Source organism: Homo sapiens, chromosome 10 (assembly GCF_000001405.40).
Source record: "Homo sapiens chromosome 10, GRCh38.p14 Primary Assembly".
Taxonomy (NCBI): domain Eukaryota; kingdom Metazoa; phylum Chordata; class Mammalia; order Primates; family Hominidae; genus Homo; species Homo sapiens.
The window spans coordinates 110805991-110828916 of record NC_000010.11 but is presented as its reverse complement, the minus strand read 5'-3'; the positions used below and the strand labels follow the sequence as shown (position 1 = coordinate 110828916).

The following is a 22926-nucleotide window of genomic DNA, read 5'->3' as shown; positions in this document are numbered from 1 at the left end:
CTAGAGCTATCTTCTGTCAGTTCTGGAACCGATTTCACTTGAACAAAGACTTCTACTGTCAAAAAAACAAACAAACAAACAAAAAACAAAAAGCAAACAAACAAAAAAAAACCTTGGAAGCCACAGTGTCATGGAGAGAAAATAGAATGTAGAGGCAAACCCAACTCTTTTACTTATGCTGTGTGACCTCAGGCACACTGTTTACCCTCTCTGAGATTAGTTTCCTCATCTGTGAAATAGGAATAATAGTGCTGTAAGTGATGTTTAGGGGAATCACCTATCATTTTGCCTGTTGCTCAAAAATACTGGTTTGGAGACACGTGTTAAATATTTCATCACAGAAGCTGTTAATAACTGCCTAAATGTTGGCTTTCTCACTTGAACCCCAACCTCTCCCCAAGGCCACCTGGGGAACCCGGCTCCACAGTTTGGTGGCAACTTTCTTCCCTGGCCCCTGCTCTGCAAGTTCAGGCAGTACCAGGCAGCTACCAGGCAGCACTAGGGGGAGAGAAGCCTGGGGGAGGAGAAACCCCAAGAGCTGGTAACTTGTCCCAGAATAAATGGGGGTTGCTGCAGACACCACATATCCCATGGCACAACTCAGGACACTTCTGGAATGTGACGGGGACATGAAGAGGCAGCATCAAGACATATTGCCCCGGCCCTGATGTGTTCTGGAGCCACTCAGTCCTCCATTTTTCAGCCTCTACTAGGATCACTAAAGCTGCATTTGGCTTCTAATAACAGCTCATGGCACGGGTAATTATAACTCTGTCATCCTAGTAAAGCTGGGATGGATAGAGGAGGGAGCTTGCACTTTGCAGGCGATGCTGTTTGTTTCTACTGAGAGCAAGCCTTGGCAGGCTCGCGCTGGCCAGGGTCATGCAGAACTGGCCTGGATCTCAAGTGCAGAGTGCAGTGTACTTCCCCAGCCATGCCCACCCCCAGTCCCCGAGCAACGCGACTGGCCTCCCTTTCCTCCCATCTGGGAGCCCAGTCCTTGACATCCCTTATTTCAGCTCTATGCTTTCCATGGGACAAAGCCAAAAAATTGTCTCTCACCTCCCTAGAAGTCTCCATGCCAGTAGTGACCAGTCCTGCAGGCTAAAGGGTTATGCAGCCCCGGTGAGAGGAGCCATAATAGGTCTTAAATATTTCATGAGTGAATAATAATAATAGACAACCCTTATTAAGTACCTCCCACTGGAAGCCACTAAGACCTTACCAGTATTTGTTCACTTAATCCTCGAAATAACTCTGCGTAGTAGCCTCCTATTACTATGGCTGATTCACAGATGAAGAAATCCAAGCAGAGGTTAAATAAGTTGCTCTTTGTCATCCAGCCAGTAGGTAGTAGACAGGGGATTTAAACTCAGGGAATCAGATTCCACAGACTGTGTTCATAGTTTCTGCACAAATGTAGCCTTTCCTACACTGTGTTGCTGCCTGAACTGGAAGAACCTGGAGAACAGAGTGATCTGAGATCGGAAATCCTGAGTTTTTTTTTTTGTTTCTTTTCCTTTTTTTCTGAGACAGGGTCTCACTCACTCTGCTGCCCAGGCTGGAGTGCAGTGGCACAATAATGGCTCACTGCAGCCTGGATCTCCTCCCAGGTTCAAGCAATCCTCCTCCCTCAGCCTCCCAAGTAGCTGGGACTGCAGATTTACACCACAACTCCTGGCTAGTTTTATTTTATTTTATTTTTTTGCAGAGACAGGGTCTCCCTATGTTGCCCAGGCTGAGAAATCCTGAGTTCTAACCTGCGTTTGCTATGTCATCCTGGGTAAGTCTCTGGACTTCAGTTTCCTCACCTGTCAAATGCAGAACCTCATACCATACTCTTCCTTCGGGGACCAATGAGATAATGAATCTCAAAGCTAACTGAAGACTATTAACAAATACAATCTGTAAAGGCCCCGAACTGAAAACAACCCAAATATTTGTCAACAGATGAATAAATAAACAGAATGTGATGTATCCATATATGCAACGCAATACTCCTCAACAATAAAAAGAAACAGACTGGCCGGGCACGGTGGCTCACACCTGTAATCCTAGCACTTTGGGAGGCTGAGGCAGGTGGATCACCTGAGGTCAGGAGTTCAAGACCCCAACAGTTCAAGGCCAACATGGTGGAACCTTATCTCTACTAAAAAAAGACCAAAAACTAGCCAGGCGTGGTGGCAGGTGCCTGTAATCCCAGCTACTCCGGAGGCTGAGGCAGGAGAATCACTTGAACCCAGGAGGTGGAGGTTGCAGTGAGCCAAGATCATGCCACTGTACTCCCGCCTGGGTAACGAGAGAAAAACTTTGTCTCAAAAAAAAAAAAAAAAGAAGAAGAATGAAACAGACTACTGATCCACCCAACAGTACAGATGAATCTCAATGATGTTGAGCAAAAGAAGCCAAACTAGCACATACAATATGATTCCCTTTATATAAAACTCTAGAAAATGCAAACTAATATTTAGTGACAGAAAGGAGATCCTTTACCTGGGGGTTGCACTGTGGGGAGGGAGGGGTTACATAGGAGACAGGAAATTTGGGATATGATGAACATTGTTCCCAGTCTTGATTGTGGTGATGGTCTCACAGGTATATTTATAGGTCAAAACTGATCAAACTATGCACTTGATATGCACTTACTTTATATCCATTATAACTCAATAGAGCCAATTTTAAAAAGGTGAGATACTATTTTCTTCCTAACTGGTTAGGAAAGATTAAAAACTGATAAAATCCAATGGGAGGTGGATATTGGGAACTCTCACTCAAGGTCGCAGGGAAAACTGATACCATCTTTTTGGAGTGCAATTTAGTAGCAATTATGAAAATTTAAAATGCAAATACATACCACCCTACAACCCCCTGGCTAGGACGCTCTCCCACAGGAACACTGGCATACACATACCACTGAACAAGCACATCTGAAAGGCAGCAGAGAACAGAAGCTAAGAACATGGCTCTAGAGTCAGATGACTGGGATTTGAACCTGACTCTGGTTTTTGCCAGTTATTAGCTGTGTGACTCTGCATTTCAGATTTTTTATCTGTTAAATAAGGATAAAAACAGCACCTACCTCATAGGTGTTTTGAGAGGGTTAAATGTGATAATACATACAGATCCCTAGGGATGGTGCCTGCATGGGGAATGTTAACAATAAAAGCTTAGCTATTAAAATGGGAAAAAGAGCAGACAGCCTAACTGTTCACCAGCAGAGGAAAGATCAGTCATTTATAGCATAGCTTTTACGATGGAATATTTGCAGTGGTTAAAAAGAATGTGTTCTCTATGTACTGACATGAAGAAATGTCTAAGACCTGCTACTAAGTGAACTTGCAGAACATTATGTGTGTAGTGTGATCCCATTTTTGTGAGAGAAAAACTGGGCATGACAGTGGTAGGCTACCTCTGGAGACTGGGGAGAGACTGGAGGGAAGAGATCAATCAGACCTTTAATATTGACTTGATATGGTTCTTATTTTTTGAATTTGTTACAATAATCTTTCACACTTTCTATAATGAAAAACAGTAGTAAAACACAAATTACAAGGTAGCAGAATTTATTCTTAATTTTTGCTAGTATCAATTAGGTTCCAAGTTCTTGGATGACAAGAGACTTGCGTTATATTTCTTGGTTACCCCAGAGTGTCTAGCACAGTACCATGTTATCCAGTAAGTATTTGCTGACTGACTGAATGCATGAAGGAGCCCTCTCTTCTCCTGCAGGGTGGCCTTTGCAACTGTTTTCTAGAGCTAAAATACCCAGGGTCATCTCAGTTTATTCTAAAGTTAGTATTTCTTTTTCCTTCTTTCTTATGTTTTTGTCTTGGGAGATGCTGTGCAGCAAATTTATCCCTTAAAAAAAAAAGGAAGTTTGCTCTCCAGATCTGACTATAAAAATGGTACACCTGGAGGAAAGAAATAGTAAGAGATTTTTTTAAAGGAGAAGGGAAAAAAAGAGCAAGTTGGATGGAAAGGACGAGCCTCCACACTGACCAGCCCCTCCCTGCATGATCAGACACGTGGTCATCAGGCATCAGATGACCCGTGCTTTTTATGCTTCCTTGTGACACTTTCCCAGGTGACACTTTCCTGAGCTCTCCTTCTGAGCAGCTGCTACTACTACTTTATCTAATTCCGACCTTTCAGAGCTAATGCGAGGGGACTCAAAGATGATGTAGGCTGGAGTTGCTGGGTTAGTGGTTGTGTCAGAATCTCCCAGGGAACTTTCTTAAAGTGCCTTCACTCCCTACCCTGAGACTCTGCTTAACTCTTCTCTTTGAAAAGGGATTCATTCCTAGGTGATTCCATCAGTAAACTCCCTCCCCACTTCATTCCCAACACTTCCACCATTGAAAAAATCGCTGTCTAAATTACAGAGAGGAAACTAAGGCTCAAGAAGGGGTATGACTTACCTGAGGGCACACAGTCACCCATAAGTAGGAAGAACAGAAACCCAGGTCTCCCTGTTCAATACCCTTTCTATGAACTAGGGGTAGTCTGCCCCAAACACATTCTATTCAGCATCATTGCCTCAGAAAAGTTGGTCCTTTAAAGAGAAAAAAATATGTAGCATTGTTCTGGGAAGGACTGGAGCAATGAACAATAGCAGACGAAGTTCATTTTTGTTGACTTTATGGAGGCTGCTGGGCATCTGCTTTCCTGCCTGAATAAAGGCTAGGCTTAAAGACTCCATGTCATCAAGAATAAAGCATTCCCTGACAGGAAAAACAGGACTTCTTAGTTCTGGGTCCCAGGGCACTGTTATTCAAGGCTGTTTTCACGGAGTATCTGGTCTATTACGGGAGACTGAAATTGCAAGAAAGTTTACAGCCGCCCCTTGCAAATCTAGGTTATTGCATCATACACTTAAAATAACGATAGGCCGGCCAGGTGAAGTGGCTCACACCTGTAGTCCCAGCACTTTGGGAAGCTGAGGCAGGAGGATCACTTAAGCCCAGGAGGTGAAGACCAGCCTGGGCCACATATGGAGACCCCATCTCTGCAAAAAAAAAAAAAATTAAAAAAATTAGCCGGGCCTGGTGGTGTGTACCTGTTGTCCAAGTTTCTCAGGAGGCTGAGGTGGGAGGATCACTTGAGCCCAGGAATTTGAGGCTGCAGTGAGCTGAGATCATGCCACTGCACTGCAGCCTGGGTGACAGAGTGAGACCTTGTCTCAAAAGAACAAAAAACGATGTCAACAACAAAATGCCAAAAAGCTCTCTCAAGCTCTTGAGGTTGCTATGGAACTGTTATTTCCTAGACCTGAATTTCAGGAAAGACTGTGTGTTTTGCTTACCTAGAGGAATGCTAAGTTCACTGAACACATCCTCTGGTTCCCAAGAGGGCAAAGAAAGGGGCTGTTTCAGTTCCACTTCAGTGTACTCTGGTGACCTCACCTCCAGAGATTTCATTTCCACGTACCTGGAGTTTTCTGCAAAACATGAACCAAGGCAAAAAAAAAAAAAAAAAAAAAAAAAAAGAAATACAACATGCCTCAAAGAGTCCCTGAAATTCTATGCCTGCATAGTATGATTGGGAATTGTTCCTTGGACTGCTTAATCACATAAGGCTGGGGCAATGGTTGCTAATTAGAACCAAAGCACTGTCATTAGGAGCTTTTTCCACTGCCAAAAGAATGCCACACACAATAAAACTTGGCAAATGTTTGCATTTGGCCCAGGGGGATGGGCTGCTGATGCCTTCAGTTGAGAAGATCCACCCCCCACCCCCCATGCCTCCCATCTCAGTATCATTCCATCTCTGCAGGCAGAGGAATTACTGACGGGCAAAAATTGTGCTGACGTCCACCGAGGCTAGCAAAACAGGCAATGCCATTCTCTCCCCAAGCTTGTCAAGCTGTTATTAAATATGAACCCCAAACACTGGGTCAGTTAATGAGCCTCTAACACTGGCACATGTTGAGACCTATACCGCAAAATAAAAGGGGCTTGATTGGAGTGAGGTGAAGATTTCACTCCTCCTTTATTCTTGCCTTCTCTAGACAGAGCCTGGGCCTCACGGTTTCTCTAGCAACAAGAAGGCATTTCACGGCGGGGTTTCCATGGAAACTCAGATCCGTGCAGGTAAAAAACAGCTCAGGTCAGCTTGACATGGAAAAAATCCCAAGCCTCCCAGTTACCTAACAGCTCATGCCACCCACAGGGCCCTGGGTTGAAATGTTCATTTTTAAGCCTTTCCTCTGTATTTTCTGCCCCTGACTCTCACTTCAACCTCTGGTGTGCTACAGGCTTTCTGTAAAGCAAATCCCTAATTATTTTCACAGTGAGAATCTTAAAGGCTACTCTCTCTCCCTCCCCCCAAACCCCCTGATGGATCTTAAGTTCCACTTGGCAGAGAAGACGGGGCTTAGCCTATTTTAAACTCTCTCTTTCATGATGTCACAGTGCCGGGCATAGGCACAAAACGTCACCTCCAATGGAGTGAGAGAATATCCTGAAACAAGTCTTGTATCACTGTCAGACCCTAGCAAAAAATGGGTCTGAGGTAGTAAGAAGGGGAACAGCTGTACCCTTTAAGGATCCTCTGTTCCTTCCCCTTCCACTCCTTTCTTGTATCCCCTACTCTTGCCCCCATCACAGAAATAACAGCCTGGGTGGCCCTCTGCTGTGCAGGCACGAGGCTCCTCCTGATCTCCTTTTGCTGATAACCCAGTCTAATTTTAGTTATCCAAGTCCATCTGGGCTCCTGTAAATGCAGAGAAGTCTGCCCTGAGTTTGCTTCTCAGAAAACATGCAGCCTCCTATCTAACTTCCTTTACACCACTTGCCTAAAATCACTAACAGTTTAGCCAGGCTTTTAGAGGCTTGCCTTTGTTGCTAAATCACTTTCTGCACCCACTTTAATGCTAGTTGAAACCTTACTTATGTTCATTCCAGCCTGCACATGCTCATACTTTATCAGGTGAGCAGGAGTCCAATCAACCCGACCACCCGTGAGGAAAGGGGAGATAGTTACCCGGGGTCAACACTTCTTGGCAAGCTTGGTTTTGGAGGTCAGTTTCGATGGGGGGGCTGGCTTTCTCCTCCAGGGGGCTGCCTTCACAAGCCCCATCTTCGGGGGTCCCCCTGGTCTTGCAATCATCCACAAATGGGCTTGGCTGCCGGGCCCTCTCCTCTGCTGGCTTAGGGGAAGACATTTGCTGGACTGTAGGGGCTGGATGAACATCTGAGCTCTCCACTCCCTTTGCCTCCTTCTCGTAGCAATCTGAATCCTCCAGGGAGAGGCCTGTCTCACTTTCAGCTGGCTTCCGCTCAGCATCCAGATTTAGGCCAGGCATTTCCACGTCCATGTCACTGGGACAGCTTGTGGAAGCAGAGGGCAGTTCTCTGGGTGACTTGAGGCTGATTTCTGCAGCCCCATTCCCTACGGCCTTGACTCCTTCCTTGGGGAAATCCTGGGCCAGGTCTAAGTCTAAGGTGGTTGTCACACACAGACATGTTTCTGGGCAAATTTTGTCTTTCTGGTCAATGGGCACAATTTCTTCCAGCTCTGGGATGTCTGGTTCCACGATAAAATCTTCTTCTTCCCCAACCTCGTCCACTGTCACCAGCTCCTCCATGTTAGTGGGATACCAGCTCTCCCCCTCTGCCTCACTTTCACTCTCCCAATCTTGTTCCTGTACAAAAATGCAGAATGGAGGTCAGAGGGTGGTTGAGAGCATTCAACTGGAAGGCACAAGACTTGGCCATAAGGACCACTCAAATCAGGAAGAATCTGAGCATTCTTACCTCTACCTGGTACAATTACTGTGAACCACTCAAGTCCCACGGCACCAACTCATCTTTAGGGTGATGCTCAAAGTTTGGAATAGGCCCTTAATGCTTAATCCACCATATTTAAAGTGACGCAAAGAATTTCAAGCCCCAGTAGATAATGGGTGCTCAATATACAGTTTTTGAATGCATGAATAATGAAGTTATAAACTCTAAATACTTACTGGAGCATCTTTCTTGCATCTGGGTCATCACTAAATGTAACTGCAGCAAAGCCCCTCACAAAATTCCCCCCAAGCACCCTCTCCCAGCAGGGGTACATACACTCCCACAGCCAAAGCTTCTACTAGGCCCCTTCTAGAACTTTCCCCTTGGCATCTGCAGCAGCCCATGGACTCCCAACTCCACAGACAGATTTAGGAGATCAGCTTCCCTGCCAGCGATACTCATTTCTCCTGCCTCTCCTGACCGGAAAGGCACGAAGATGGCCCTGTTCCAAGGATATTTCTTTTTGTTGTGGCAGCTCCAGCCCAGGAGAACTGTAACTGGATTTTTTCATTTTAATTAAGTAAAACAATCTATACAAGCACAGTAGATGGCTTGTTAATCCTAGGGTCTGGGCCTGCTGAAGTCAGGGCCCCAGCTTGAGTGCCCAAAGCAGCTTCTCGCCCCATCCCCGCCAAGGGACTTGTCTATTTTGGGAGCCTGGCTCTGAAGCCTGAGTCTTTTTTTGGGCACATGTTTTCTCGTAGGAACACAGCCAAATTGCTGGAGAGTGAGCAGAGCCCAGACATGTGGGTAAAGATCGCTTCAATAAAAACTGTCCGAAGATTCCAGGCACAGCCACTCCTCCAAAGTAGCGCTAGGAGGACTGGTTCATTCATGGAACTAATGGTGGGGTCTCAGCCATATTCCATCCAGCAGGACATCACCAGGCAAAAGGGGGACTCCTGTGACTCAGTCCCTCATGGCAGAAGTGCAGAATCTGAAACAAACTTTACCTTCTTTGTCCTTGTGTTTTCCGGATCAGAGAACTCTGCTTCTTTCTCCTGTCTGCCCACTGATTGAGGGCTTTCTTCCATGCCCTCCTGTTCCTCTTTTCCAGCCTTATCAAAGGAAGAACAGAGCAAACCAAATCAACAGTGAGCAGTGACAGGGAGAAGAAAAAAAGAATGATATTGAATGCAGGTCCCAGCTCTCAGATAGGTTTCACATACAGCATTTCCTTTATCCTCCCAGAATCCCTTGGAGGCAGCTGCTATCAGCATCTTCGTTTTATAGATTAGAAAACTGAGGTTCAGAGAGGTTAAGTAATTTGCTCACAGTCACACAGACAAATGGAGGCAGAGAAATGTCTTGAAGCCTGGCCCGATGTCTTTAGGGGGCAGAAATACCTGGCAAACTGGGTATTTTTTGCAGAGTAGAAGCAACAAAACTTGAACTGACTTGGGCCGGCCAAGACCCCAGGGTTAACCATCACGGTGACATTTCCCCAACAGAGTCATCTTGGCTATGAAAAAAATCATTCAGGACACTTATAGGTAGAAAGGGCACAGTCAGAGTGCCCTCACACCTTTCTGTTGCCCTCTGTCCTTGAGTGATAGCCCAAACTAACACTCCCTTTCCTCCTTCCTTGTATTCCCTTCCCCCAAATCAGGACCCTCACAGTAGTGCGCATGTCTGTGAAACTGAACAATTGAAAGCAGGTGTTTGGTTTGAGAATTAGGGCCTCTACCCAACCTTTAAGACAAGGGTCAACAAACTATAGTCTGCAGGCCGAATCTGACCTACAGCCTGTTTTTGTATAGCTTGTGAGCTAAGAATGAATTTTACACGTTTACATAATTACATTTTAAGTGATTATAGAAGTGCCTACATAAAATCCTCAATTTTGCCCCTTGGCCCACATAGGCTAAAATATTTACTATCTAGTCCTAGAAAACTTTGCCAACCCCCACATTAGAAGTTTCTGGGGGATATTCTCCCATGACTTAAACTTTGGCCACCAAATCAATGACTACTCCTGGGCTTTCTGAGGGCCAAGCTGCAGTTCTAGGACATTCTTGGCTGAGGTTGGTTCTAAGTAAACCACTCTAGTTCTGATTTCTTACAATCAGACACACCCCCTTGAGCTGACTAGGAGCCAGCTGGAGCAGAAGCTCAGGGCTGACTGGTTTCACCAGTTATTACTGGACAGGGATACATGGTTCAAATCCTAAAGTCCTTTGTTTCCAGTGTTTGCTGTGGAAGATTCCACTGAAAGCTTTGCTGAAGTCTACTGCACTAGCCTGAGTATAAAGCAACTACAAATACCTTTTTAGCTATTATAGCTTCTACCAACAGGTGACTTTATTTTTATCTCCCTGAATCACCTATCCATGGCCCTCTCTTGTCAAAATGAATAATCCTTACCCTTCCCAAGCAGTTCCTGCAGCCACACTCCCAGATCAACACAGTAAAGGGACCCCCTTCAGTTCGAGTTGGGAGAGGCAGGGACAGTCTTGCTAGCCGGGCTGAAAGCCCTCCACCAAGCAGACCCCTGCTCTTCCACCCTGCAGGCAAAGGAAACAACCTTTCAGAGCTTCCCTTTGCTGTGGGATCACTTCCAGGAGAGAGCAGCAGCTTAAGTGGAACAGATGGGTGCAACGGGTGCCCCCAGCTGCCCACAGCAGCTCACAGACTGAGACTGAAACGCCAACTGTTGCAAGCAGGGCTCTGCCACCACAGGGCCCGGGCTACCGAACCACTTCGAAACTGGTCTCCCACTTCTGCTCTGTACCTTCCCCCAAAATCTATTCTTCCCAAGGCAATCAAGAATGATCATTCCAAAATGCAAAAATGATCACATCCTCACCATATTGTCGTTTTGGTTTTTTTTTTTTTTTTGAGATGGAGTTTTGCTCTTGTTGCCCAGGCTGGAGTGCAATGGCATGATCTCGGCTCACCGCAATCTCCGCCTCCTGGGTTCAAGCAATTCTGCTGCCTCAGCCTCCCAAGTAACTGGGATTACAGGTGCCTGCCACCACACCTGGCTAATTTTTTTTTTTTTTTTGTATTTTTAGTAGAGACAGGGTTTCACCATGTTGGCCAGGCTGGTCTCGAACTCCTGACCTCAAGCGATCTGCCTGCCTCAGCCTCCCAAAGTGCTGGAATTACAGGCGTGAGCCACTGTGTCCAGCCTCTTCACTGTATTTTCTTGCTTAAATACTTCATTTGCTTCCCCTGGTAGTTAAGATAAAGGCAAAAATCTTCAACCTGCCTACAAGGCCCTGCATAGTGTAGGCCCTGTTGACAAGTCAGCCTCACCTCCTGTTACTCTAATGCCAGCTCTCTGCTACGGCAACGCTGGAGCCCTGGAGCTGCTGGAGGCCCTTGTGCATGCTGCTTCCTCTGTCTTTTCACTTCCTTTTCACCCAGTCAATACTCACCGTGCCTCCAAATCTCAATAGGCACAGCCTAACCCTGAGAAGGCTCAGATTTATCACAGGCACTCACAGCATTGCGTACCTTCATCTCCTTCTTAGCACTTAATACTCAAGCTCTTCTGTTCATTTAAGAAATCACTGGATTAGCATTTCTCTCACTAGACTATGAGCTCCACGAGCCCAGGGGTCATTTCAGTGTCACTAACTATAGTCCCAATGCCGGGTGCTCCACAAATATTGGTCAATAAAAGAATGAAATTGGTAGAAGGGGGTGGGGCGAATAACAAGTTCTCACCTGTCTTCCCGCATGGTTGGGTCTTGTCTAGGCTCTGAAGCATAAGGGTTTTAAAAATCTTCACCTCTTATGGATTGGTTATACCAGGGGTTACACTCTGGGGCTTCTAGATGGCATCTGGCCCACAGGTATGTTTTGGTTTATACTAGACACTTGTCTTGCTCTAAGAAAAGGGAGATTTGACAGCGTGGCATGCGTTCCTGCATGGCAGCTGTAGAATGGAGCTGAGCAGTAGCTCCGGCCCCACAGATGGCACCACTTTCTCAGTCAGCCATGGTCCCATCATGCTGGCCTGGCTCCACTTGTCATTAGCCTGGCTTCCCTTCCCTAGTCACCTGGGCCTGCCACTCTCGAACCCTCCCTCCCAGTAGGATGTAGCAGTGTTTCTTCCCCATGTTTTCCTTATCTGTGACTTCATTTCTTTCCTCCTCTTTATGGTCCTGTGGCCAGGATTGGGTCTCAGGTATGGACGTGGCCACCCATCACCACGGAGCAGCACGCACACTGGCTTCTCAACCACAGAAACTTTCTCCAGAGAGCTCAGGATATTTTAATGAGCATGACCTCTTTACAGTACTACAACAGCCTTGTGATCACATCCATTTTACAAACAAGAAAAGTGAGGCAGAAGAAAGCAGGGTCTGACCTGGTTCTCAGAAGCCAGGCCTTTGCTTCCAGAGTCTGGGTTCCAACCTTCATACCTTCAACAGGTACTCACTGGACACCTGCTCTGTGCCAAGCCCTCCTCTAGGGACTGGGAACACAGCAGTGAACACAACAGACAAAACTTCCTGCCTTGTGAAGTTTACACCTGGAGCTGGGGGTGACAATAGACACTAAGTAAAATAAAGACATTAAGTGATAGGTTTGAAGGTGGTAAATGCCACCAAAAACAGGAAAGCAGGGAGGGAGAGGAGGGGGTTGAGGTGTTGAGGTGGTCTGCAGCGGTGCGAGGGAGAGGAATGGGTTGGGGTATTGAGATGGTCTGCAGTGACGAGAGGGAGGGGAGCAGGTTGGGGTGTTGAGATGGTCTGCAGTGGCGGGGAGGGAGAAGAGTGGGTTGGGGTGTTGAGATGGTATGCAGTGGTGGGGAGGGAGAGGAATGGGTTGGGGTGTTGAGATGGTCTGCAGTAGTGTCGGGGGAGGTGAGGGGGTTGGGTGGGGTGTTGAGATGGTTTGCAGTGGTGGGAGGGAGAAGAGCAGGTTGGGGTGTTGAAATCATGTGCAGTGGCCAGGGACAGTAGAGAATGTGGCCATGAGTAAAGACGAAGGAGGTGAGGAGCAAGCCAGGAAGACTTGTGGCTCCTCGGCAGCAGCAACACCTGTAAAGGCGCTGAGGGCAGGAGGTGCCTGGTGCACTGGAAGAACAGCAAGCCCTGCTGCCTTCATTCCCAAGTTCAGTTGCCACCTGTTATCTGACTCCAGGGGCAGCCCTGTGGGGTCTGGGCTTTTCTTGAGTTCATCATACAGAGTTTGAGGACAGTGCAAAATACTCTCTGTTCTGCAGTCATTCCAACACACACTGTTGGACTGCCTGGCTCCAAACCTAAAGACACAATCTGTGAGGGGCCCCAGTAAGTCCCTACTGACCCCACTCCAGGGTTGTAAGAGGCAGAACCAACTTGAGGGACAGAACTGTGGGGAAATTCTTGGGGCTTTCTGAGATTCTTTTTCCATCAGGGGCTCTTTGGCTGACACATAGTGTCACCTTAAATGAGCAATGTTATACAAACCGATGAGAGCAGGGTGGTAAAACAGTAGAAGAAATGAGGTTCCCAGGGCAGAGTCTCAGGAGTGTGAGTAGAAGTGCAGGAAGCAGCTCCACCTCTCAGCCTTGGGGGAGAGAGGGTTGGCAGGCTGGTGGTATCCACATGAAGCCCAGGCTTTCCTTGAGCCCCTGCCAACTCTTGCTCTCTGCCCATCATCCATCACCAGCAACTTGGACACCTCCAAGCACATACACTTTTTAAAATATCCACTGGTTCACCAGGTCCTTGGGATCCAGTTCAAGTCCTTGGTGAGGCACACAGTGTCTTCCATGAGTCTCACCCTCTTCCCTAATCTCATCTCCTGTTCTTCCTCCTGCTATGCCAGTTAGGAAAAATCGTGGCAGACTTTGTAATGGGCAAAAAAAGACTACTGGGTGTCCTTTCACTGGAACGCTGGGCATTTGTCTAGCACATCCTTTCAGGGCATCTGATTCTATAGAAGTCTGCACCTTTCATTATCTTGAACTGAGGTATTTTACAACTGTATAAGTTGCAGAAATCAGATCCTAATACAAATGATTCTTGTTCCTAGAGATGCACATGAATTGTCTCTGCTGGAGATGCAACCGATTCCCTGCCCCCTGTGGAAGGGGCCACTTTTACACCTATTAGCAAATTCATTTTAGCATTCCTGATTGCCTGTATATGTTGCCTGCTCTTTGGATTCTCTTTTGAGTTGGTTTTTGCATCTCATGATGCCGTCATTAATTAATGAGTTGAATAAAACCTTTGACATGTATTCATTATATATGTGCATCAGAGTCATGATTTTACTCTTTAAAAACATTATCCCTAATATGCCCTAAAGATGCAGCCATGCCGATTATCTCCAGGTTCTTCAAAACAGTCTTTCTTTTTCACTTTTGCCCTGGCTTCTGCTTCTATCAAGAATCTTGGCAGGGCACGGCGGCTCACGCCTGTAATCCCAGCACTTTGGGAGGCCAAGGCAGGAGGATCACGAGGTCAGCAGTTCGAGACCAGCCTGACCAACATGGTGAAACCCTGTCTCTACTAAAAATATAAAAATTAGCCGGGCGTGGTGGCGCACTCCTGTAATCCCAAATACTAAGGAGGCTGAGGCAGGAGAATTGCTTGAACCTAGGAGGCAGAGGTTGCCGTGAGCTGAGATCACACCACTGCACTCCAGCCTGGGTGGGCAACAGAGTGAGACTCTGTCTCAAAAAAAAAAACAAAACAAAACCCAAACTGCTTTTTTCTACTTTTAATACTCAGCTCAAATATCACCCTCTCTGAGCAGCTATTTTCCCGTTCCTGTGCAGAGTTAATAATTGCCCACAGAGCAGCTCATCCGCTGTAAATGCTGGCATGAGTCCCATTGTATACAAATTATTTTTATATTAATAGGTCTGTTTCCACCACTGGACTTCAGTCTCTGCTGTAACATGGACTATGTCCTATTCACCTTTGGCTCGCCTGCACCTAGCACATCACCTGGCAAAGTGGCACTCCATCTATACATGTTGGAATGAATGCTGAAGTAGCATCCAAAAGGTGACTCTTCAGTGTTCATGGAGTAGAGATTTGGTTTCCTTATTTGCACTTAGTATTGTCACCAACTCCCAGGTCAGAATGACTAGAAGGTATGTGTGGAGGATTTTAAAAATTAGGCTCCTTATGCATATTGCCAAACCTCACTTATCCTACCCCTACTTAAATATAGAAGGCTCTGGCAAGAAGGAAGTGTAAGCCAAGTTAGAATATAAACCTGGTAACCACAACCCTCCTTGTGACGCCCCTGTGTGAACTGAAGTACTGCTGCAAGCCCTCAGACCTTTCAGATGCCATGAAGGTGCCAGCCATTGCCATGCATTTTTTTTTTTTTTTTTTTTTTTGAAATAGAGTTTCGCTCTTGTCATCCAGGCTGGAGTGCAAAGACATGATCTCGGCTCACTGCAACCTCCGCCTTCCGGGTTAAAGTGATTCTCCTGCCTCAGCCTCCTGAGTAGCTGGGACTACAGGGGTGCACCACCTTGCCTGGCTAATTTTTGTATTTTTAGTAGAGACAGGGTTTCACCATATTGGCCAGGCTGGTCTCGAACTCCTGACCTCAGGTGATCTGCCTGCCTCGGCCTCCCAAAGTGCTAGGATTACAGGCATGAGCCACTGTGCCCAGCCACCGTGCATTTTTATTAGAGTGGAGGTAAAACACTGTGGACAGCTCTGGGCACCCAGTTTAATTTAGCAGGTGGTGACGGCTTCTCCTTCACCACTTCTCCTCAGAGTTCCAGGACTGGTAAATGCTTCTGGCAGGAGGGAGGACAGAATGAACCAAAGATCTAATCTCCCTTGGGAGGCTCTTTGGGTGCAAACACCTCAGGCCACTCCCTACTGGACGAACAGGACTACAGGCCTTTCCATGATGTCCCACCCTAACTTCTAGTAAAGGCAACAGGTGCCATGGGATTTGGGGCCAGATCTCCTTGGTATAATTCTGGGTCTGCCATTTCCTGACCGTGTGTTCTTGGACAAATAACGTAAGTTCTCTGTGCCTCAGTCTCCTCACCTGCAGTAACAATAGTACCAAGCTCAAAGGTTGGTACTCAAAACCTGTGAGGATTAAATGAGTTCATTGAGATAAAGTGTCTTGCACAGTGCCTAGCGCATAGTAAATAGCCAGTAAATGTTCATTCATTCAATAAACGTTCATCCTCATTATATTATTATGATTATTCTCCTTCAGGGCCTGCCTCGCCTTACCTGGGGAAGAAATTGATCATTACCTCATTCTCTGCCATTGTGTTTTCTTTTCTATCATCAGCTCCTTCTTGGTCTCTATCAGTTCTCTTGGTTTTATTTTTCTCATTCTGCTTGGCCTTGGCGCCCTCAGGGGCCCTAGTGACCTTTGGCCCCAGCCCATCTTCCTTGCCTGAGTCATCCGGATGGGGGTGTCTGCTTTCCCGCAGCCTGGCCTCGTCTTTCCTCCTGGACCTCCCGGGGGCATCCTGCTGCTGCTTCAGATACTTGTCCGACTTGGCTTTGGGCTCTTTCCGGTAGTAGCCGTCTTCACGGCTTTTGTAGCTGGACACAGAGTGGGGCAGGTTGGGAGACCCAGATCTCGGGTACTTCTCCCGGTGGGGCCTCCCTCCTTCTGGTCGCTCGTCCAACTCAGCCTTGTCCAGTTGCCGGGGGTGGTGTTTGCGATCATGTGCCCAGGGGTCCATCCTGTCCCTCTTGTCATCTCCGTTGTCCCTCCAGGGAGCCGGGTCTCGCTCTTCCTCCCTCCTGGCATAGGGAGAGTGCTCCCAGGAGTCCCGGCCATTGCCCCAGTCAGCCCGGGAGGGGCCCGGAGGGCTGTGGGAAGAGCTGCAGGAGGTGAAGCTGGGAGTGTGGGACCTCGGGGAGAGTGACCGGCTCACCGGACTACGAGACCGCGGCCTTTCTGGGCCATATCTGTGAGGGAGCCAAGGAGCAGGATTTAGAATCTTCACACCTCCCATCCCACCCCACCCACACACAGACACACAGTCTCTGTCTTAGATATACTGTGCATGTAACTGTGTACACTCTTAACTCCCAACTCTACAGAACCACACAGAGTGGTTCAGGAGAAAGCCTTTTCCTCCCTTCTGGCTTCCGTGCAGAGGACTTCTCCTAAGCACAGCACTGGCCACTCGCTGTGCCTTTACTCATTCTGCTCCTGGGAACTAGGAAGAAGAACTGGGCTGATTTGGCTCGGTTCCAGCTTGCCTTCTCTTGGAAGGGAGCTATGCTCAGGGAGCGGACCTCTGACTCTCCTCCTGGGGGTGTGCGGGGTGGGCGCTGGGGGGCAAGATTGCCCTAGTCCAGCCTAGTGGGTAAGGCTGCCTAACCCTGGGTGCCATTAGCCGGCCTCTTAGCTACAAGACTTGAAGCCACTCCTACATTTGGGCTGTATCAGAATGAAGCCAACCTCTTAGCCTCCAGTTTTCTCATTTATTTCTCAGCTCAATTTATGCATGGAAAAGGGATGCTAACTATTGGGGAGGGCACGCTCAGAGGTTAAAAAAAAGAATTAGGAAGGCATTTTAGGGTTGGAAGATACTCTAGAATCCTGATCTACACGTCTGAGATGAAGAAACTGAAACCCAGACAAGGACCCCAACCTGTGTAAGGTTCAGAACAAGACTTCCTAACCCCCCTCCACTCTGCCGCAGAATTGCAGGTGGCAAGATGTGGCTTTACACGTCTTTAAAAAACCCAAATAATCAGAATTTTTTTAAAAAAACAGACAGACTAATAAACAAATAAAGATTCCCAGCCTGAACAGTTACGTACAAAGATATACGCACATATATACAGATACACTCTGAAGGCTGTTTGGTTATTAAGCAGGTCAACTGAGTCATATATCCGATATTCTAAAAGGATGGGCATTTTTTCATTAAGTTCCCAAACACAGGAAAACCACGTAGCCCTCACTGACCAGGGGACACCAAGGTGCATCTTGCTAGGACCAGGCTGCCTTGACCATCATGGGGGAAACACCCTGGGCTTGTGCCCTCTACAGGGAAGTGACAGCACCGACTGTGGCCACCCCAGCAAGAACCCCAGGACGTGCCAGCCAGGTGCCTGCTCCTGCAGTTTTCTACCTTGGTTCTCTTCAGGAACTGTCTTTGTAGGGGAGTGACAGTGGTCAACTTATAGCCCCAGCTTGGCCTGATCACAAACTTCGGTTGGAAGAAATGGGTTGGAAAACTGAATATATTCAATGTTTCGAGAAAGTGACTGTTCAAATAACTGATTTTTTTTAACCATCTACATTTTACTTCCTACATCTACATTCAACTTATGAAAACCAAGAGCTGGTTCTAAACGAAGCCACACGTACACACACACACACACGCACACACATGCACACACACACGCACACACGCACACACACACACACACACACGCATTACTTTTAGGCTGTTTTAATAGGGTGTAGACTTGCCCCAAAGGGCCAAATATTAACAGACCTTTTCCTATATTATTTTCCAACAAAGGGTGAGGAGCTGAAGGGAAGCTCAGCATTTTGTATTTTCCTGAGGTTAACCGGAGCAGCATGTCTGAACTGGACTGGTGTTTTTCATGGGGAACATGGAAAAGTGGGACCCAGAAAAGCAGATGGATGGGGTAGGGGCAAGAACAGGGCACAGCATGACTCAAATGCCCCTAAGAATGAGAAACAGGAGTCTGTTCCCACTGCCCAGAACCTGCCTGGAGACTTGGGGCTTGGGGCCTCACCTGTCTGCTTCCCGGAACATGTCCCTCTCCCTCTGGGAATGGATGTCCTGGATGATGGCAGCCACGGCCTTCCCGGGTTTCTAGCAAAGTCAGAGAGATCACCATCAGATCAGAGATGGCCTTGCAAACACCTGAGGGAAGCAGCTCTGACCTGGGTCATTCATTGCCTGGTCCACCAAAAGGGAAAAAATACCTTGTGTGGGGAAGACAAAAGGTGTAATCCAACGGATGAGTGTGAGTATAATGCTGAACTGGGTGGGGCTGTGTGGCCCAGAGAACACTGAGTGGTCCATTGAGCTGGGGAAGGAAGGAGCCTGGTGTTCACATCCATGTGCTGGAGACAAGCAGCATTTGTTAATACCCACCTCTGCCCGAATAAAAAAAAATTAAAATGTGAAAGAAAGAAAAGGACAGAGGGATGGAGGGAGGGAAGGAAGGCAGGCAGGCATGCATTGTAAACTTGGAAAGACTTGAAGATCATTGACTGCAGCCTCCGCTTTTTATATCTATGGAAACTTAGAGCCAGAGAGGTTGAGGCAGGGTCTCTGCTCTGCACAGCTCCAGGGTCACCAGCCACCCTGTGTTCCATGCAGTTGGTGACTCTTGGAGTTGTATTGGGTTAAGGAACACTTCAAGGTCACACAGATAGTGAAAAGAATCAGGACCTGACACCAGGTATTTTAACTCCAAGTTCCTTTCCATGCTTTCCATGCTCTGTGCCCCCTTCAACACCTCAAGCACAGACATCAGCTGATGCTCAAAGTAAATCTGTGAGGAGGGTGGCATAAGCTGGGAGTCGGGCTTCACAGCTGAGAATAGTAGGCAGCCAGGGCTCCATCCTTCCCAGAGGTCATTAGACGGTGGCTATGCCAGGACAGGACCAACCCCAGCCCCCCATTCCCGACCAAAGCCCTTTCCTAAACCCAGAATGGACACATGATAACCAAAATAAATAAATAATAAATGATTTTTAAAAAGAAATTCATAAGCACAAAAGGCAACAGGAGCATCTTCCTGAAGACTATGCAGAATTCATCCCTTACATAAAAATGTAGCAAGCAGAGTGAATTTTATGGAATGTGAGTTATATCTCAAAAAATAAAGCTGATTTTTTTAAAGACCAAGACTAAAAACCCTCAGTCTATGTAAACTTTTGATAATGAGTTTTATTAAATTTAATCGACTTTTTTTCCTTGATTTTTTCTATGTAATTTACAAAGAATCATGCAATTTTTTTTTTTTTTAAGAAACGGGGTCTTGCTCTGTCACTCAGGCTGGAATGCAATGGTACAATCACAGCTCACTGAAAGCCTCAACCTCCCAGGCACAAGTGATTCTCCCACTTCAGCCTCCAAAGTAGTTGGGACTACAGGGGCTCACCACCACACCAGGCTAATTTTTTTAGGTTTTATAAAAGACAAGGTCTCGCTATGTTGCCAGGGCTGGTCTTGAACGCCCGGGCTCAAGCAATCCTCCTGCCTTGGCCTCTCAAAGTGCAGGGATTACAGGCATGAACCACCACGCCCAGCTAAATCATGCAATAAGAGCCATACAAATGTTAAAAAGCATCACGTATCTCATTTGACAGATGGGAATCTCAGGTCCAGAGATGTGATCTAGCTGGCCTAGCATGGTATGAGTGCTCTGAGTGGCGTGGCTGATTATCTGTTATTGTTGAGATAGAGGGTTGGGCTGGGAAAAACACAGAGTAAAGGTGAGAATGAAGGAGGAGCTGCCTGCAGTTTCAGGGAGAGAGGTCAGGACACAGAAAAGAGATATAAAATGTTCAAGTGAGGGAGGGACCTCACCTCTTGTCATATGGAGATGCAAAATGAAAGAAAGTCAAAGAGAAGGCAGTGACTCCTTCAACTGTGCTTGTGAATAAGTCAGAGGTTTTAGAAGTCAGCCAATCCCCCATTCAAGAAAAGGCCCAGGAACTCAGCACTGGGCAGGATGTCCACAAGAAAAGGCACCACAACTTTGGCAAATGGTCCCTTATGTCAAACTGGAGCTGTAGAGATCAACCCTCTGTAAAGCCCATGAAAGTGCCACCTACAAATTACCAGATCACCCAAGACTTGCACTGGCCTCCAGCACCTCAGCCACTTAAACTGGACCTTGTTCAGACCAAGGCCAAACAAGGATAGAAGCCAAGCCTGTTGGTGTCGGCCAAGAAGAAAGCTGCTGCCCAGGATGTCTCCTCCCACCCCACCGTGTGGCTAGAGACCACTGGTCCTTCAGCCAGGGTCGGTTGTCACTTGGGGTAGAAGAAGAGGCTCACTTGGAGCTGACTGCACTTGATGTGGATCCCACCAAGCAGGTCTTCTTCCTGCCTGCCCACCTTGGGCCACACAATGAACTCCGGCTACTGTATCATCAAGGGAAAGCCAGCTGGGATGGCTGGTCCCTGAAAGGACCTGTCACAGCACTGCCTTCACACAGGCACCAGGGGAGCAGCAGAGCTTGGGAAAGCTGGTGGGAACCATCAGGACCAAGACCATGACATGAGATCTGCCATCGCCGGGAAGCCACACCCCGGGTCCCTCCCAAATCTGTGGCTTGCACTGCCAAGCTAGAATAGACAAAGGCTAAAGAATGTGCCCCCAGACTGGCATAAATGTATATGGCAATTCTTCAGAACATAAAATTCCCCATGGGAGTTGGATGGGGAGCTTTCTGTTGTAAAAAGAGTCCCCAAGGTTCCAGTTTTCTTCTGCTCTTCTGGAACTTCATATCCTCCTGGTTATTCCTTCCAGCCCAGATCCAGGAAAGACCGACGTGGGAGGAGGATGGTCTTGGCAGGGAGCGGCTGAGGTTTTGCAGATTACCCATGGCAGAGTGACTATGAGGGTAGGGCTCAGGTGCATGGGGGCAGGAGCAGGTCAGGCCAATGTCAGGGCCAGAGGCATTCCACGAGCTCTTGGTCCCTTCTGCACGTTGGTTATCACAGATGGCACCCCCAGGCCCTTCCCCTCAGGGGTGCCCCCAGTGAGGGGCAGAGCGGGCTGATCAGACACTGCAGATGAAAACATCCTCTAGTGGCCCATGCAGTTTCCCAGGGGTCAAAGAGGTGCAGTTAGAGTGAGCTTAGAAGAGCCTCTCCTTGGCTTAAACATTCCTCTGCCCCTTATTTTCTTAACCACAGAACCTCCTCCTGGGGTCACTTTCAGCCCATACCTCCTGGAGTTACTTCTATCCGGATCCCAGGTCCCCAGTGAGGGGGCCCCTGGGCTGATAATCTTCACACAGCCAGCACCAGCACAGAGCCTGGCATGGAGCAGGTGCTCCCTAACACTAATCCCAAGATGCATGGCTGGAGAGATGGAAGGATGTGGCTGCAGAGAATGAATATGAATCTGCAAATACTGCACGCTGGGGCTAGTGGTCACAGGTATTGTGATCCCTCCTGAGGATCAGAGCATCAGTTCTGCTATTTTAGGTGGTAATTGCAAATTGTTTGGTGCTCTCTGGACCAGCTGCCAGCTGCCATCTGAAAAGGGGACAGAAGTAGCCAAAGATTTTCAAATAAGAGAATTGACTTCGGAAAGCCCTAAGAAAATTCTCTCCACCTTCCTCTTTGGCCAGCTTCTGTATTCTGTGGGTAAAGGCATAAAGAAGGCAGGTGAAACAAAGCTGTAATCACCCCAGAAAAATTGAAATGGGAGAGAAAAGAGTAGGTCTATGATAAAATTTTGGTTACCTTTTCATTGTAGAAAATTTCAAACATACACAAAAGTAGAGAGAATGGTTTACTGAACCCCGAAGAATCCATTACCCATCTTCAGCCAACAATGATGACTAATCTTGTTGCATTTTGATATGGTTTGGTTCTGTGTCCCCACCCAAATCTCATGTTCAATTGTAATCCCAGATGTTGAAGGTGGGGCCTGGTGGGAGGTGACTGGATCATGTGGGTGGTTTTTAATGGTTTAGCACCATCCCCCAGTACTACTCTCGTGACAGAGTTCTCACGAGATCTGGCTGTTTAAAAGTGTGTAGCACCTCCCTGCTCCCACTCTAACTCCTGCTCTGGCCATGAAAGACATGTCTGCTTCCCCTTTGCCTTCTGCCACGACTGTAAGTTTTCTGAGGCCTCCACAGCCATGTTTCCTATGCAGCCTGTGGAACCATGAGCCAATTAAAGCTCTTTTCTTTATAAATTACCCAGTTTCAGGTAGTTCTTTTTTTTTTTTTTGAGACGGAGTCTCACACTGTGTCCCAGGCTGGAGTGCAGTGGTGCGACCTTGGCTCACTGCAACCTCTGCCTTCTGGGTTCAAGCGATTCTCCTGCCTCAGCTTCCCAAGCATCTGGGATTACAGGTGCCCGCCACCACACCTGGCTAATTTTTGTATTTTTAGTTTAGGTTTCACCATGTTGGTCAGGCTGCTCTTGAACCCCTGACCTCAAGTGATCCGCCCACCTCGGCCTCCCAAAGTGCTGGGATTACAGGCGTGAGCCACCACGGCCTGGC

At 47.4% G+C, this 22926-nt stretch overlaps 1 protein-coding gene across 4 annotated transcripts in view, besides 2 other annotated features; it reads right to left on the bottom strand.

The window, feature by feature from the left end:
- The window catches only part of RBM20 (RNA binding motif protein 20), a 196224-nt gene that overhangs the window by 10552 nt on the left and 162746 nt on the right, over nt 1-22926 (bottom strand). For all 4 annotated transcript variants that reach the window (XM_017016103.3, NM_001134363.3, XM_017016104.3 and 1 more), the window contains exons 8-12: nt 18455-18534; nt 15970-16639; nt 8741-8845; nt 6982-7642; nt 5303-5437 (exon numbers count right to left, since the gene is read on the bottom strand). In XM_017016103.3, the coding sequence (XP_016871592.1) occupies nt 5303-5437; nt 6982-7642; nt 8741-8845; nt 15970-16639; nt 18455-18534 (1651 nt within the window). The remainder of the gene's footprint in view (nt 1-5302; nt 5438-6981; nt 7643-8740; nt 8846-15969; nt 16640-18454; nt 18535-22926) is intronic.
- Nucleotides 13009-13298: an enhancer, noted in NCBI's record as "active region_4043". NCBI's record gives its function as "activates an Ori minimal core promoter by ATAC-STARR-seq in GM12878 lymphoblastoid cells {active_cell/tissue: GM12878}" and the evidence as "EXISTENCE:reporter gene assay evidence [ECO:0000049][PMID:35858748]".
- Nucleotides 16403-16968: an enhancer, noted in NCBI's record as "H3K4me1 hESC enhancer chr10:112571707-112572272 (GRCh37/hg19 assembly coordinates)". NCBI's record gives its function as "activates a minimal SCP1, AML or CMV promoter by ChIP-STARR-seq in naive H9 embryonic stem cells {active_cell/tissue: H9 hESC(naive)}" and the evidence as "EXISTENCE:reporter gene assay evidence [ECO:0000049][PMID:30033119]".